This window comes from Homo sapiens, chromosome 16, assembly GCF_000001405.40.
Source record: "Homo sapiens chromosome 16, GRCh38.p14 Primary Assembly".
Taxonomy (NCBI): Eukaryota; Metazoa; Chordata; class Mammalia; order Primates; family Hominidae; genus Homo; species Homo sapiens.
Genome location: NC_000016.10, coordinates 56273684 through 56289212, shown reverse-complemented (window position 1 = coordinate 56289212; position 15529 = coordinate 56273684). Strand labels below are relative to the sequence as shown.

At 49.1% G+C, this 15529-nt stretch overlaps 1 protein-coding gene across 4 annotated transcripts in view, besides 8 other annotated features; it reads right to left on the bottom strand.

Moving 5' to 3' along the window:
* The window catches only part of GNAO1 (G protein subunit alpha o1), a 165956-nt gene that overhangs the window by 68232 nt on the left and 82195 nt on the right, over positions 1–15529 (bottom strand). For all 4 annotated transcript variants that reach the window (XR_007064866.1, NM_020988.3, NM_138736.3 and 1 more), the window contains exon 3: positions 13141–13282. Coding sequence is in view for 3 of the 4 variants with exons in the window: in NM_020988.3 (NP_066268.1) it covers positions 13141–13282 (142 nt within the window). In the remaining variant the exon portion in view is untranslated. The remainder of the gene's footprint in view (positions 1–13140; positions 13283–15529) is intronic.
* Positions 250–912: an enhancer, noted in NCBI's record as "H3K4me1 hESC enhancer chr16:56322213-56322875 (GRCh37/hg19 assembly coordinates)". NCBI's record gives its function as "activates a minimal SCP1, AML or CMV promoter by ChIP-STARR-seq in naive H9 embryonic stem cells {active_cell/tissue: H9 hESC(naive)}" and the evidence as "EXISTENCE:reporter gene assay evidence [ECO:0000049][PMID:30033119]".
* Positions 4244–4765: an enhancer, noted in NCBI's record as "H3K4me1 hESC enhancer chr16:56318360-56318881 (GRCh37/hg19 assembly coordinates)". NCBI's record gives its function as "activates a minimal SCP1, AML or CMV promoter by ChIP-STARR-seq in naive H9 embryonic stem cells {active_cell/tissue: H9 hESC(naive)}" and the evidence as "EXISTENCE:reporter gene assay evidence [ECO:0000049][PMID:30033119]".
* Positions 5969–6516: an enhancer, noted in NCBI's record as "H3K27ac-H3K4me1 hESC enhancer chr16:56316609-56317156 (GRCh37/hg19 assembly coordinates)". NCBI's record gives its function as "activates a minimal SCP1, AML or CMV promoter by ChIP-STARR-seq in naive H9 embryonic stem cells {active_cell/tissue: H9 hESC(naive)}" and the evidence as "EXISTENCE:reporter gene assay evidence [ECO:0000049][PMID:30033119]".
* Positions 6517–7066: an enhancer, noted in NCBI's record as "H3K27ac-H3K4me1 hESC enhancer chr16:56316059-56316608 (GRCh37/hg19 assembly coordinates)". NCBI's record gives its function as "activates a minimal SCP1, AML or CMV promoter by ChIP-STARR-seq in naive H9 embryonic stem cells {active_cell/tissue: H9 hESC(naive)}" and the evidence as "EXISTENCE:reporter gene assay evidence [ECO:0000049][PMID:30033119]".
* Positions 7157–7778: an enhancer, noted in NCBI's record as "OCT4-NANOG hESC enhancer chr16:56315347-56315968 (GRCh37/hg19 assembly coordinates)". NCBI's record gives its function as "activates a minimal SCP1, AML or CMV promoter by ChIP-STARR-seq in primed H9 embryonic stem cells {active_cell/tissue: H9 hESC(primed)}" and the evidence as "EXISTENCE:reporter gene assay evidence [ECO:0000049][PMID:30033119]".
* Positions 7157–7976: a biological region, named in NCBI's record as "Sharpr-MPRA regulatory region 182".
* Positions 7682–7976: a silencer, noted in NCBI's record as "tiled region #182; HepG2 Repressive non-DNase unmatched - State 12:CtcfO". NCBI's record gives its function as "represses a minimal TATA promoter and a strong SV40 promoter by Sharpr-MPRA in HepG2 cells {active_cell/tissue: HepG2}" and the evidence as "EXISTENCE:reporter gene assay evidence [ECO:0000049][PMID:27701403]".
* Positions 11419–11918: an enhancer, noted in NCBI's record as "H3K4me1 hESC enhancer chr16:56311207-56311706 (GRCh37/hg19 assembly coordinates)". NCBI's record gives its function as "activates a minimal SCP1, AML or CMV promoter by ChIP-STARR-seq in naive H9 embryonic stem cells {active_cell/tissue: H9 hESC(naive)}" and the evidence as "EXISTENCE:reporter gene assay evidence [ECO:0000049][PMID:30033119]".

The window sequence follows — 15529 nt, the reverse complement described above, 5'->3', positions numbered from 1 at the left end:
AGTGGCCTGCACTGGGGGCTCACCAAGGCTGCCCCTCCTGCTAGGCTGCTTTTGCTGCTAACAGCCCAGCGGCTGTGGGAACATCAACTCCCTCCTTAAGAGAAAGTCAGTCTTCAATTGAACACAGGTGCCCTAACTTTGAAACTGTGTTTTTTTCTCTTTTTTCCGCTCCCCCCCCCTTTTTTGGATACAAAGGAAGAACCTTGTGCTTGGCAATCACCTAAACTTAGCAATTAAGTTCTGCCAGGGGAATTTATAGAACTAAAAAGGAGGTAGGGTGGGGGAGGGGCGATCTTCGGTGTCGTTCCTCAGATCTAATGGATGAAAAAATGGAGACCCTGTAGGGTAAGGGATGGGCCTGAGGTCACCCTGCCAGCCGAGGCAGGGCCTAGGGGCTGGTCTTTCTGTGAGGGGTCAGTGTTCTAAGTGAAGGCCTGGTATGCTTCCGGTTCATGACAAAGACCCTACCCGCCTCCACCCCTGCTGCTGAGTTCCAGGGGACTCCAGGCTACCTGAGCTCCTGACTCTCCAGAGGCCAGAAAGTAACGCAAAGGGAAGACCGGCCCCCACGCTGGCCACTCTTGCTATCAGAGCTGAGTGACTTAAGACACAGGGCTGTGAAGGCTGCATTTTCCCACCTCCCTGACTTTTCCCCAAGAGGAAGCAGCCTCCTTTTAGAGGCCAGGCCTGATTCTCCTCTCCTTATATAGCTTGGGAACTTCTACAGCCAGGAGCCCAAGTATGTGCTCTGGTCTTACTTCCTGGCGTGCCCCATATGGGGACACTTGGGAGCAGTCTTTTTACCCTCCTATCCTGGTGGCTGGTGAGACCCCACCGGTGCCAATCCCTTCAGCTCTTTGTCAGATACCCCGTCCTCAGCACAGGCTAGGACAGGCCGACTGTCAGGACACTCTGCTCTCTGGAATCACTGAGGCTGTCCACCTGCTCGCCAGCTGAGCTCTGAGCAGCAGTACACCTGCTTGCATTAGTTCACCATGGTGCACAAAGCACTCAGCATGCTGCTGGCACAGAGAAGGCCACGTCCATATTTCTCAAGTAAATAAACCAGTGAGTGAATGAGACAGCCAGGTGCTGAGGGCATCCAGGGGGAGAAAGAAGACACGTCTGGCTGGAGGGGCTGTGGAATGACATTCACAGAGTCATAGGCGGCCCTAATGAAAAGGAATGGAGCAGTAGCCATTTCAGCAGCATTTACTCTGCGCAGATGCTATGCTGAGTGCACCATCGACACTGGACACTGGTGCACGGTCTATGCAGCGCGCCATCTCAGTGTTTCTCAGTCACACAGTGTCTGCCACTCTCCTCCCTCTCTGTGATCTCTCCTGCTCTCTCCTTGTCTCTATCTCTTTGGGTTTCTCTCTCAGGCCATGCTGGGCCCTGAGTCAGAAGCAGCTCTCCTCAGCTCCACTCCTGCAAAGCCAGCAAGAGGGCAGGTGCTGAGGCATACTGTCTTCCAGCCTGAAATCAGAAGGGACAGCTGATTCTGGGAGGGGATGACACCACCTCTTTGACCTGTAATAGCTAAGAGGCCTTGACACCAACCCTTTGCTCTGGTTCTGAAACAATTGTCACACCCAGGCTCCTGTCCTGGCCCTTCACTAACAGGCAGTGAGGTATGGGCAAGAGGAGGGAGATGGCAGTAGCTGTTTCCTGAGCACTTACTTGGTGCCAGGCACCTTGCTTAGCTGTTAACATGCATCATTTCTTTTAGCCACAACAACCCTGTGAGTAGGTATTATTATGATCTCCAGTTTTCAGATGAGGAACCTGAGGGTCAGTCAGTCAGGTGACTAGTGCTAAGTCCACTGCCTGGCAGAGGGCAGGGCCAGGATTCAAAGTCACATCTCTGACTCCTGCTGCCCGCCCTCTGGGGCAGTGCCTCCCCAGCTTTGAAGCGAGGTGTTGACTAGCTCTAAGGCTGTTGCTGGCTGGGGCAGGCTCCAAGGGACCTGACTTCTAGTGGAGGCCTCTTCTGTTACCAGCCTATCTCCCCTCTTCACCTCCCACTCTTCCCTGGCCCCCTGCTGCGGCCACAGTGGAAAGGCGAGACCATTGGTCAGTGGTGGGCTGGGGGCTGTGCACCCATGTGTCCTGCCACCTGGGACCTCAGGGGAGAGGCTGCCATGGGAGCAGCAGTGCTGGCTTGCTGCCGAGCTCAGCCATCTCATGGTCCTGCTGCAGTGGACTCAGCCTGGCCGGCCCTCCACCCTACGACATGAGTCATCTCCTGCACGGGGCAGCACAGCTGGTAGCCCCAATGGCAAGGAGAGATCTGTGGGCGGCTGGTGGCCTCCCCAGCACCCATTTCCTCCTATTCTATTTCCTTTTTCAGGAGCTTCTGGTTTTCCTCTGGGGGATTCACTCTTATCCCAGGAACCCCTCAGCCCCCTTGGTCATGGTGATTGGGTCAAGGAGGGGCAATGAGAGAGAGAGACAGACAGACAGACAGATACACACATACACACACACACACACACACACACACACACACACACAGAGGCGACAGAGACAGAAAGAGACTGAGAGAGAGAGAGAGACTTGCAGGACTTGGTGGTTGCTCAGATGCACCTTGTGCTTGGTGATGTCCTAGGATGCACACAAGGTTACAAGTGATGACTTAGCTGCTGGAGCCATTTTCCTCCTTGGTGCAGGAGTGATGCTGTGGAGTCGAGGGTGAAAACCACACAGTGCGGCAGAGTGGAGAGATGGGGGAAGCCAGGGACGTCCCCTGAGCTGCTGATCAAGCCCCCACTCCCCACATGTGTGTCTGAATTTCTGACTCTCTGGGCCTGTGGCTGTTTTGTGTTTTATTTTGTTTGAATAAGCCAGTTTGCCAGTGTGGTTGTATCTTCCATCACTTGCAACCAACATGTCCTAACTTACTCAGAGTGGGGGCTTCAGCAGTGACATAAGACCACTGTTGGTTGCCCGGCAAAGAAAGAAGAGGGAACGGAGCTGAGTAAAGCAGAAGCTGATGAGCGTGTGTGCAGATGTGTGTAGCGGGAGGATGGAAAGTGGCTCTGGTTTTCCTAGGGAAGCCATCTCCATCTCACATGTGTGGGACTGTGACCCCCACTACACTCCCAGCAGGGCAGGGGCAGATACCACCTTGGCTGTCCCCACCCCACACAGCCTTCCCCACGTGGTGCTGCTGCCTCAAACCTAACCCTTTCTCAGTCCCTGGCGCCTCTTCCTTCAGCAAACTAAAATCTACCTTCCTGGTTTCCTAGGCTACTCCACGGTATATCTGGTGGCCAGAAAGGGATTATACATCCACAAAGGGCTCAATTCTGGGGCTTGGACCAAATGAGGTCCCAGACATAGTCGGGAGAGAGATCTCTCACAGTGAAAGCTACAGTGCTCAGCACAGGGCTCTGACTTGTGTCCCACTACAGGACCACAGGGCCAGCACTGCACTGTCAATTAATATTTTTGTAAATCCTATAATTGTCTTTTTAGGGAGCACAATTATATTCCATTGCATTTGTGGTAGGCCCAAAGTACTGATTTGTTAAGTAGATGCATTTAAAATACAACACGATTTTGTGACCTTGTTTTGGGAATTCTTCAATTTTCAATATTCCAGGAGTCCCAAAATACAGGGCACTGGCCAGGCAGGCCCCTCTCTGCTGTGGCCTATGGCTTCTAAGGCTGAAGTCTGCTTGGCAGCTGGTTTGCCACCTTGAAACAGGTACCACAAGCCCAAAGGATGCTCACACAATGGCCCCTCTCCAGAGGGGAGGCGGTCAGTTCCCCCTGTGTAGCTGCCAGGTGGGGGTTTGGTGGGGGTAGAAGAGGGGCTGCAATGGGGTGGCTCTTGGACATCCAAGATTGGTGGGGGCCACTTCAGTCCTGATGCCGAGGAATATTTATTTACGTGGTTATAACATTTTCCCACCATCAGAGCAGAGTCATTAGGGCTTATGGTGGCGGTGGGGGGCGGGGTTGGAGTGTGAAAGACAGAAAGAGAGCACACAAGCGCAAGGCATCACCGCTTGCAGTTTTCGTTTACTGTTTGTTGAAGTCTTTCATTTAAATTTCCTTTTTAAAATTCCATGCCCTTTTCTACAGGCAATGAACATGTAGAGACTGATGGCAGCCCAGCCTTGAGCATCCACTCAACTCTGCACGCCACGGAAGAGAAGGCAGGCCAGGCCAGATGAAGGCTAGGTGCTGGCTGGGGCCTCTGCAGGGGCCAATGTGCTGGAGCCCTGGAGGCTGAGTGCCTGCTCCAGGCTGAGCCACCGCTGTGGGAACACATGAATGGAAGCACGCATGGCAAACGCTGTGGAGGGATCAGGAAGGCATGGAAAGAAGCATATTCTGCATCTTTCATCCTTTCTTCCCTGGACACATCTGTTCAGGCCATGCATATCCCTAGTACCAAGCCAGCACTTGACCCAGAAGCACACACCCATTGGATGAATGGAATCACTCAGGCACAGGATTCACTGACCCCTGCTAGCACTGGGCATGATGAACAAGACTGACCTGTTCTTCCAGACCTGCTGTCTGGCCCCAAGGGTAAGACAACCATGAAGTAGAGTGTGCTGCTGGGGGGCAGCTGGGAGGGGCTTGGGGGAGGGCACCACTTTTAGCTAAGGAAACCCAAGACTCTAATGAGGAGGAGCAGCTAAGAGACATTTCAAAAATCTGACACTTTAGTCCTTCTTTCTTTCCCATACTGAAAACTGCAGTTCCTTTGGGTTGGTTCTTCCTTTTAGATGATGGTCAAGGAAAGCCACTGATGCTGCCATCCTGGGCCAAAGTACCAGTAGCCGGGTCTCAGGCTCCTTGTGGCAGGGCTTAGATGGTGGATGCCTTCCCTCAAACCAGGAGCTTGCGGCCCGATCCAGCCTTGGATCAGGGAGCTGTGCTGATGCTGCACTGAGCCCTGGAGAGCTAGAATTTCAGAGCTGGGAGAAGCCCTGGAAACCAAGGCGTTTACCTTCTCATTCTGGGGCTGGCATCTCTGCCCAAGACCGGGAGCCTCTTGATCTTTGCATCTTTGTACCCACCTCTGCCATCTTGTGCACTTCCCCAGGAAGTAAGCATTTGTAAGTAATAAGTAATTGAGTGATAAGTATTTGTGGAATGATTGATTGACCAACTGAATGAAAGAAAATGAGTCCCCAAATTGGCTGGGTAACTGGAAGCAGCCTGCTGAGATGGAAAGAGGACTGAGCTGTGATGCAGGAAGCTGAATGCTCTAGTCCTGGATCTGCCACATATTCCCCTGGGTAAGTCTCTTTCCAGTTTGGACCAGATGAAACCTATGTTCCATCTGCAAAATGGAGCAGCAGAATGAGATGGGCTTGAATGGAGCAGTTTCAAGCTCTATTCACCTGGCTGGCAAAGGGTCAGGGCAGGCTCTGGGGCTGTTGTAGGTGGAGAGCCTCAGCACCCAGCATGGGACACATCTACATCCTCTTCCTGGCCTCGTGTTTGGGCTATGGGAGTATGAAGCCTTCATCTATTACATCCTCCAGCCCTCGTCAGATCTAACAACTACCACTAAAGTATCTCTAAGCCCCAGGGGACTCAGGGAGACACAGGCCAGATAGCATCCTTGTTTTTATCTGTTTCAGAATTCATGCAAACCACAAGGTGAACCGCACTGCACTGTAGAGGTGGCACCACAATATTTCCATGATTATTAAAAAACATAGTGTCCTGAGCTCCATTGTGTGACTTAAATGTCAAGATTTCTTTTACCAGAGGAGATCCAATGACATTCTGAAAACTAAATGTGAAATCTGATTCTGCCTCCCAAAGAGCTACCATTATCTCTAGGGGATACAGCTCCAGTGAAGGCCCCTGGTGGAACAAGAGCATGGGCGGCAAGCCCAGCTGGCACCCATCTTTCCTCCTGCTTAGGTAGGTGACTGAGATAGAGCAGGGAGCCCCCTGTTAGGGTCGTGCTGCCCCCCACACCCTGAAAAAGCATGGAAACAGAAAAATCTTGAGTCTCTTCAAGGGAAATTCCAGGCACCTAGGTAGCCTTGAGAAGTAAATGAGCAACTTGAGAAGCAAGGAGGTTGTAATAGCTTAAAATAATAGCCACACAAGTAAGTCAGAGCCACAAGATGTTTGGTTCCCTATGGAAACTAAAGATAACATCTTAACATATGTCCCTGAGTTGTTTTTCAGAAACCTGGACCCCCACCAGATGGAAAATGCCCATTGCAGTCAAGTAGACCTCAGAAGAGTGGTAACTAAGGACAGAACACTGATCGCCGGTCTTTCTTCTCAATTTCTTCCTGAGGGGCCTGGAGAGACTCATACCTACAGGCCAGACCTTAACATTCATTTTGGCTGTCCCCAAGGTTTTAGACAAAGGCTTGCTCCTTAATCAACTGCATATCACAGAATCTCTGGATCTACGTATGACCTCAAAGCCTGCCCCACAAGATATCCTGCTTTTTTGGGCCAAACCAATGTATAACCTCCATGTATAGGTTTACGGTTTTGCCTGTAGCTTCTGCTTTCCTAAAATGTACCCTTGCCTTTAAAAGCCCTTGCTTGTAGGGCCATTGAGGAAGTGAGATGTTAAGCATGAGCTGCCTGACTCTCCTTGCTCAGCCTCCTGCAGATAAACGCAGTCTTTTGTCTTGTTGTAAACTTCAGTGTTGGTGTTTGGCTTTATGGCACAGGTTCAGCAGACCCAGGCTTGGTAATATGACCTTGGGTGGCCAGTTAAGAACCTTGTGCTTCTGTTTCTAACCTGAAAAGTGCAGATAAAACCTTGCCCATTCCTCACTAGATTGCTGTGAGTAGAATTCATCAACACTTTATCAAAAATAATGATTTTAGACAAATAAATGAGAATAATTGCCAACACATGTTGAGAAGTTGCTATGTGACAGGCACTATCCTATGCACGCTACAGGCATTATCTCATTTACTCTTACGGCAGATATGAATGAGGGAGGTATCAGGATCATTACTATTTTACAGTCCAAAATGCTGAGGCTTAGAGAGGTTACATAATTTACCCAGGGCCATATAGCTGGTGGTAGAATTGGGGTTTAAACTTAGTATTCAATACTTCCTGTATTAGGCATTGTGCTAGAGGAACAGGATCTACACTCTGCCCTTAAGGAGTTTATAGTTGAGAGAAACAGGCATAGGCACAAATAGTGAAAAAATGAAAACTGGAGTATTTTCAACTGAATAAAGCCTCATACAAGTTCAATGCATGACTGCTACTAGTCCATTTGTTTACAATATATTTTACATATGCAAGGATGTACATACATACACACGTATATTTTACATATGTTTATATAGACACATGTGTGTGTATGATGAACTATATTAATACAGGCTTGTTCAAAGCTTTCCCCATCCCCCCCACTGGTCCAGTGAATCTTCTAATCCTGTAATTGTTCAGTTTCTCCTCAACCCTTTCTTCCAGTGTCAGAGTTTAGGCCAGCTCAGCCAGAACAAGGCCCTCTGCTTTTGTGATGCAGATGTAGGCCCTGGGCTAAGGCTAGAGGAAGGAGGAGGGGGAGAGCTTGGCTCAGAAGGTGAAGACAATTTACATAATAATGAGCTGGAGTGAGGAGGAAGGGAGGGAGAGAGGGAAGGGGAGGAGGAAAAGGGGACTGAGAAGGAGGGAGGAGGACAGAGGAAAAGGGAAAAAGGGAAGGCGGGAAAGGGAGAGATAGAAGGGGAGGGGAAAGGGAGATGAAGAAAAAGGGAGGAGTGAAGGAGAGGCAGAGCAGGAACCCCTTTAGTGGGAAAGAGAGGACCAGCCTTGCTCGCTGGGGTGGAGAAGAGGGTCCATGGAGAACCCAGGGGGGTAAGGCAGCTCAAGGGAGTGGGGTGGGACAGATGTGGGAGGCAGGAGAGGATGTTTGAGAACAGCAGGGGGAGCTGTCTCTGGTCCCTTTTCATATTCTTAGAGAGACTTAGGATGAAGGATGGGATTCTTTGAATGATTTGTTTTACCTCATCATACTGTGCCTATCTAAATGGGACTCTGCTCTGGACCCAGGCCACACAGGTTCTAGTCTTGTTAGGCTTCCATGTCTACACTGTATACATATATAATTTGTATTGCATGACCCTGGGCAAGTCACTTAGCCTCTCCATGCCTCATTTTTTTTTAACCTATAAAATGAGGACAACAATAGCACCCACAGCACAGGTAGCTGTTAGGATTAAATAATTTAAGCATTAAGGAATATTTTTTAAATAACAGGACAAATTAGGCCCACCCTTTTCCAATAAAGGCTCTGAAACATAAAAATAGAAAGCCGTTATTATCCTGGAGTCAGTAATTCCCAGAGCTTCAGTTCTCTGAATCCATCCATCTGATATGTGCGGACCTCCCCCACCTGGAAACCCCTTAGGTTTGGAAGGGGACTCACCCTCTGTGGTCCGGCCCCACCCGGCCTCCTGGCTTTCTGGCTGAGGTTCTACCTTGTGCCCATCCTTTTCCAACAGCCAATTAATCACCAGGCCCCTGTATTTCCTTTGTTGCTACGCATCACTCTACTGCCTTTCTGACCCCTCACCTAGCCCCTTGCACCTTATTCGTGGTCTGTTGCTGCAGCTTCTTCACCTGCCTCCCATCTTTAGTCTCCCCCTGCCATCCCCCTCCCTGCCCTGTCCACTCTGCACATGCCATCATCATAATTTCCTAAAATTTCACTTTCATCCCATCCCAGCTCAAAATCTCTCCACGGCTGCCTACTGCTAACAGGATAAAACCCAAACTCCATGGCCTACCTTCCAGGGCCCACCAAATCTGGACCCAACTGGACCTTCTAGTTTTCCCACATCTTGCTCAGACCCCAGTCCTCTGTTCTGCCCACTGGCCTCCTCTGCCAATTAACTCTCCTTTCCCTCATTACCAACCATGTTTTTTTCCTGGCTTCAAGGGCCTTTGCTCACCTATACTGCACCTGTCAAACTGTACCTGTGCTTCAGGGACAGTTCCATCTTCACTCCCACTAAGCAGCTCTTCCTGCCCACCATGTGCAAGGGCTGTGCTCACTCTGCCTGTGAGCTCCATCTTCCCAAGAAGATGACCAGCTCCTTAAAGGCTCCAACTCACATGCCTTTGAATCTTCACACGTGGCTTAGTACCAGCCCGACACATGGTAGGTACTCAATCAACAGCTGTTGATGTAGTGACAAAGTTACAGGCACTTTGCCTTTTTTTCTCTGAAAACTGGGAAAGTTAGAAATGTCATTCCATTAATGGGATGGGTCTTGAAGTCCTACTAAGTGCTGAGCACTGTGTTGGCTGCTGGAGTGAGGAGGTGACCCAAAGATAAACGACATACGCCTTGATCAGAAGACCTTAAATGATGAAGGGGTTCTTAGGCTGGACTCCATTGGTGGGCCAGGCCCCCTTGAAATTGCATGCAGAATCTCCTAGATGTGTGCTGTGTCCCCTGTTCTGGAGGGAAGGCTCGCGGCTTTCATGAGCTGCTCAAAGGACTCTGACTACACTTTAGGGCCCACTGCTCTATGGAAAGAAGCATAAACAATTCATCTTCATGCCAGTGTGTGAGATAAGAGCTTCATGGAGAAAGCCCTGAGCTGAGTTTCTTCCTCAGGGAAGGAAAAGGGAAGGAGGCTTCATGGACAAGATGAAGCATAGTGGGCCCTTACTGAGTGGGGCAGTTCCACGTGGAAGAGGGGAAGAAAAGAGGACGGCACTAGAGGCAGAGAGCACACCCCAGCGAAGGCCCAGAGGAGTGAGAGTACATGGGGCCCCTGGGAGAGGTCTGTAGTCTGAGGCTGGGGCCTGGGGTGTGGAAACCACAGACGGATGTAAGGAGGTCCCTGCTGTTTGCTCTGCACGGAGGCTCTTTCAGGTTCAGGCTCACGCACAGTCACGGGGCCCCAAGTGACTCCACACCAGAGAGGCTGAAGGAAAAACCAGCCAGTCCTCTTTCCTCTGGGGGAAACAGACAGGACAGGTGGTGAGTCAGCTGCCGGGGGAACTCAGGGACACCTACCTGTTCTAGGGGCTGACACTGAGGTACAGCAAGGAAGCTCTTAGGCGCTTTTCTGTGTGGAGAGTGCAAGGCTGGCTGGCCCCGGCAGGTGCTGGGAGTGGGGTTGTCTTCCTCCAGACATCCCCTGATGAGTGGTGGTGGGTGGCAGAGGTGAAAAAAACATGAGAGGGAAGGAGGTCTCTTCTTCAGAGACCAAAACACGGATCTGGACTCCTGCAGCATAAGGTGGTTTCCCCAGCATCCAAATGGCAGATCCCCTAGGTGGAGAGTGGCTGGGGACCCTAGAGACAGAAAAATATGGGGACCCAGCACTGGGCTCAGGGCATCTGGACATCAGGAGCTGCCTGGCTGCAGGTAGCTCCAGCTGAACAGAGCTTTATATTCCTCTGCGCCAGGCTCATTCCTCCCTCAGGGCCTGGGTGCTTGTCTGGAACTTTCTGTCCCCTCGTCCTCCCACTCTGAATTATCTGCTCCTCCTACCCCCAGATCAGGCTCTCACATCACCTTATTTTGTTTTCCTTGCAGCCCTTAGCATTATCTGACATTATGCAGTCACCTACTTGTGGGCTTGTTTGCTGCCTGTACTGCTAGATAGGAAGCTCCATGAGAACATGGAAAGGGAAGGATGTTGGCTCTGAGCTGCCCCCACACCAGCAGGTACTGCAGCCCTTTCTGGCCTGGCATGTCTCCTCATGCCAAGTGGTGGCTTCCACTCTCTTCTGCCCAGCTCCACAGGCTGCGAATCCACACCAGCCCACTCCCGGGAACGCCTTTTCCAGTTGTCTGGCTTGCTGTGGCCTGGGTCTCGGGTTCACTCCTTTCCTGCTCCTCACAGGTGTAAGAATACAGGAAGGGGGTGCCTGAGTGCCAGGGAGGCCTTTGCCCACCAGGAAGCTCACACCAGACAAGGCTGTGTTGCCCTAGGGATGGGCCAGGTGCTGGCCATGGTGCCACCTGCCATAACGGAACTGTGCTTGGACTCGACTGTGTCCAGTGGACTCTCCAGGGAGTCCCGCTTAGCTCTCAGTCTCTCCTTCCATTGGAGCCTTCCCCTCCTTCCTACTTGAAGGCTGACTTGACTGGGAAATTCCATGGAGGAGAAATAGCCAGAGAAGGGACCCTGTTTCCCAGGGGCCTGCAGTACAGTCCTTAACGTATCATAGTCCTAGCGATTCCCAAGCAATCATCTCTCCATTCAGGATAATAAAATGGAAAAAAAAATCCCATGGGAACAATGAATGTTTTCCAAAATGGAAGGAGAAAAGTATTCCAAAGCCACACTGACTTTGCTGGGTTATAATCAGTATAGGAGATTTTTAGGAAGAGCTGGCTGGGAGATGAATACATTTGCTCCTGGAAGATCTCACACACCGTGTGTGTGTGTGTGTGTGTGTGTGTGTGTGTGTGTGTGTGTGTGTGTGTGTGTGTGTGTGTGTGTAGGGGGTGTGCCTTTTGTACTGTGTCTGCTATCTGGCTGAGATTCAGATATCACGCTCCCCACTTAGTCAAAGGGAGACAGACAGACCAGAGGCCTGTGGCTTGTGCCATGCCTGAAGATGAGGCACTCCTTGCTCTGGGCTGTAATAAAATGAGTTAAATAAAACGAGTCATTATGTGTAAAGTGCTTAGTATGTGCCTGGCAGCCAGTAGGTGCTCAACAGATGGTAGCTGTTTTTATTCCTACTATTGTTATTAAGAAGAATGAAGCACTGTACTCATCTGGGTTAGTTCTAACGATCTGAATAGGTGTTTTCTGCAACCAGACACCATTCCCTGCTGTGCTCATTCCTGTATCCACAGCACCTAGCTCAAAGCCTTGCACATCATAAGCCTGCAGTGAATGGACCCATCCACTCCCCCATTCCCTCTTTCCACAGGCCCTGGCTCCGTGACCAAACCCAAAGCCGGCCTTCCAGGAAGAAGTGCTTCCTTTGCAGAATCCACTTCCCAACTTGGCCTCCAGGAGGAGCGGCAGATGGGCCCAGGTCCCCCTGCTAGTGCCCAGCTTCTCCACCGCAGGCTGGCCTCGGACATACCCTCAGTCACCCAATTCCCCAGTACCTGGAGGAGCCAATGCCTGGGCTGGATGACTCTGCCCCATGGAATTAGGATTTTGTGCATTACATATCAAATTTTACATTTAAAGCTGTCTATCATGGATGATTTATCAGACACAGAGACAACCAGGACAGTTTTCCTCTGTGAGGAAGATGATTTTTAGCAAAGACAGGACATGTGTATAATAGACAATCAAATCACACAGCAATCAGAGATGAATGCTCTCCATCCAGAGGCTCAGATGCAGAGCCCAGGTGCTTGGAGGCTGTACCTGCCCTCCGCCCCCTTCTCCAATCTCCAGGTCCCAGAGGGAGGATCACTGAGATTCAGTCCCAAACAGGGACAAAGAGCTGCTTCTGGAAAGAATTCTGAGGCTATTTTCTCCTCTCCCTCTCTCCCTCCCTCCTTTTATTTAGCCTTGCCAGTGTAGCTGTATATAGTTCAGTCTTAACAGTTAATATAAATGTTTGCAAATTAGAGGCTTTTATATAGTACTTATTCCATTCACCACTTAATAGAAGACTGGAAATGTTACCCCCAAACAGTCCCTGTTCTAGGACACTGACTTTCTACAGGAAGGAGAGCCCTGTAGGTCCTCATACTTACCCAGGGGAGGCAGAAAACATAGCCCTTGGTGTAAAAGAGGAAAGGCAGTCAATTCAAATGGCTATCCTCACTCCACAACAAGGCAAGGAAAGTTCTTCTAAGGAGGGGAGATGGTGGCCAGACAAGGCTTGTTTTGTTTAATACATATTTTTTTCTGTACAAGTTAATTGCCCAAGGACAGGTACTTAGACAGTGTTGTGGCAGCTCCAATTTAGAACTGTCACCAACTCTTCCTCATCTGCAAAATAAATCCGGGAGTTTTGTAGCCCCTGCAACTTGCAAAGTTGGTGAGTTTGCTGGGAGTTTGCCAGAGGGGTGGATGCAATGGCTTAGGTTGGTGACTGTGCCACCATATATCTTTCAAACATAGCGGAGTCTCTTCTCGTTCATTTAAGGCAGCCCAGCACTATAAAGAGGAGGCAGTGGGGTAACACAGACAGAACCTCTTGTTGCTGTGCTTATGGGCTCAGGGGCCTACCTTTCTCTCCTTATCACCATATTCGATGCCCAAAGTGTCCATGGCCCGGACGATGGCTGCCAGGGACTGGATAGTGTTGCTGTAGACAACAGGCTTGTACTGTTTCACGTCTTCTCCGGAGAAGCCATCTTCATGGATGATCCTAGAGAAAAACCACACACACCACACCTGATGAGAGCATTGTCCTCATCAACACAGAGAGCACAGGCATGAGACGCACTGGCTGACTGTGGGCCAGGTCCAGCCGAGATGCTGAGTTACTGAGTTGCTACATTAATGTCATAAAATCTAAAGGAAAAAGCTACCTAAATTACTGGAAAACAGAATCTTGGAAAAAAGAAATGCAGTCTTTTCACATTCCCTACATAATGAAAGAAAAATCCGTCAATGAGGTGTGATAATACTTGAAAGTACTTAGAACAGGAAGGGCATACATTAAGCACTCAATGTATGTTAGTCATGAGTATTTTAAGCAAAGTTCGGGGTCCCAACTTAGGTGTACACCCAGAGGCATATTGTTGAAAATCCCTGTAAAAAGTCTGCAAATGGATGATGCATTTTTCTTTCACAGAAAACTCACCGCTTTTAATGAAGGTAAAATGATTCACTTAAGACAAACAAATAACCATCTTTATCTTTGACAACAGAAAAGTCAATAAAAGGGTTTGCCTACTTTTTCATCCTTGGCTAGGATTTAACCACATACCACCCTCGTTCTGGTGGATCTGAACAGGGACAAAGAAGACATAAAGGGGACATCACAACTTTCAGAGGCCACGTGGCACTGCCTGCTAGCCACTCAACATGTGCTCACTGCTGACAAGGATCCGGGCAGGAGAGAAAGCTAGAAGGAGGGGCTCACGCCAAAACCACAAGAATCCTCTTATAACTAAAGTAATCCAGAAAGAGCAAATGAATTTTAAGATTAACATCCTACATTTGTCCTCCCTCAATGAACTATGTAAACTCTTCTGTGGTCATATTTTCAGTCCCAGATAGAACACTACTTGTGACACGTTCACGCACCAATATAATAACTGAGACCTCCTTTCTACCATACCAAGGCTCCTTCCAATTCCTTCATTACTTTCATGCAGGAGAAAATGGCTAAAGATTCTTCTTCTTTTTTTAAAAACAACAGTTTTATTGAGATATAGTTCATATATAGACTCTACCTACTTAAAGTATACAATTCAATGGTTTTTAGTATATTCACAAGGTTGGTCAATCATCACCACAATCTAATTTTAGAACATTTCAATCTCCCCAAAAGGAACTTTGTATCCATTAGCAGTTACTGTCCATGCCCTGCCCCTACCCTAAGCAACCACTGATCTACATTTTGTTTCTATAAATTCGGCTATTCTGGACAGTTCATATAAATGGAACCATACAATGTATGGTCTTTTGTGACTGGTTTCTTTCACTTAGCACAATGTTTTCAAGATTCATTCATGTTGTAGCATGTATCAGTAGCTCATTCCTTTTTATTACTGAATAGTATTCCACTGTATGGATGTACCACATTTTATTTATCCAGTCATCAGTTGACGTACAATAATGATTCCTGCTGCAAATTCCACTTGGTGCTGGTTTGCGGGTCTTCACCCTGAATTTCTCTAAAAAGCAGATCAGAATGACCCTATTAACTTTCTGTCGACTTTCATTATTCCTAAGTCCAGTTTTGTAAAAGTATCTTGAGGGAGTACATAACCAGTACAGGCCACTGGTGCACCACCCCAGAGAGATCTCAAAGGGATCTTTGCTAGCTCCCACTGTAAACAACTAGAAAACCAGACAAAATATGTGAAACAAGCATCTTCAAACACTGGAGAATAGACAGTGCAGGACTGTGATCCCTGAGAGAAGGGAGACCAAGGAGGAGAGTCCGGTGATGGCCTGGGCGTCCGCCTTTAGGTGTTTACTAGACCACAGTGCAGGAGGGAACCCAGGCAGAACACAGCCATTTCACTGAGCTGAAGAGAAAAAGTGAGTTCAGGAAAGCTGAGGTAGCTGGAAGGGCAGCGTACCAGAGGGGAGAAAACTGCGAAGAGAGAGCACTTCAGATGCTTCAGAGAGTGCACAGGGGTCTCCTTGGAGTCTGTGGCTGGATAGGGTAAGATTCCACAGCTGGTCAAGGAACAATTACTAAAGAAAGAACAAGCATCAGGGAGCTTATCAGTTGAACGCTTCCCAGAGCTCATTCAAGGCTGGGAGATATTCAAGTTCCAAACAGCCAGAGTGAAGAGTCCTTGTTGAACGCCTGGGGCACTCAGCAGAGACGCCAGAAGGCTCATGCCATAGCAACGGGGCTGAGCTAGCTCCAGAGTAAAGGCTGCTTTAGACCTGCCCTCATGAAGCTTAAAAACAAAGTTAAAAAAAAATCAAG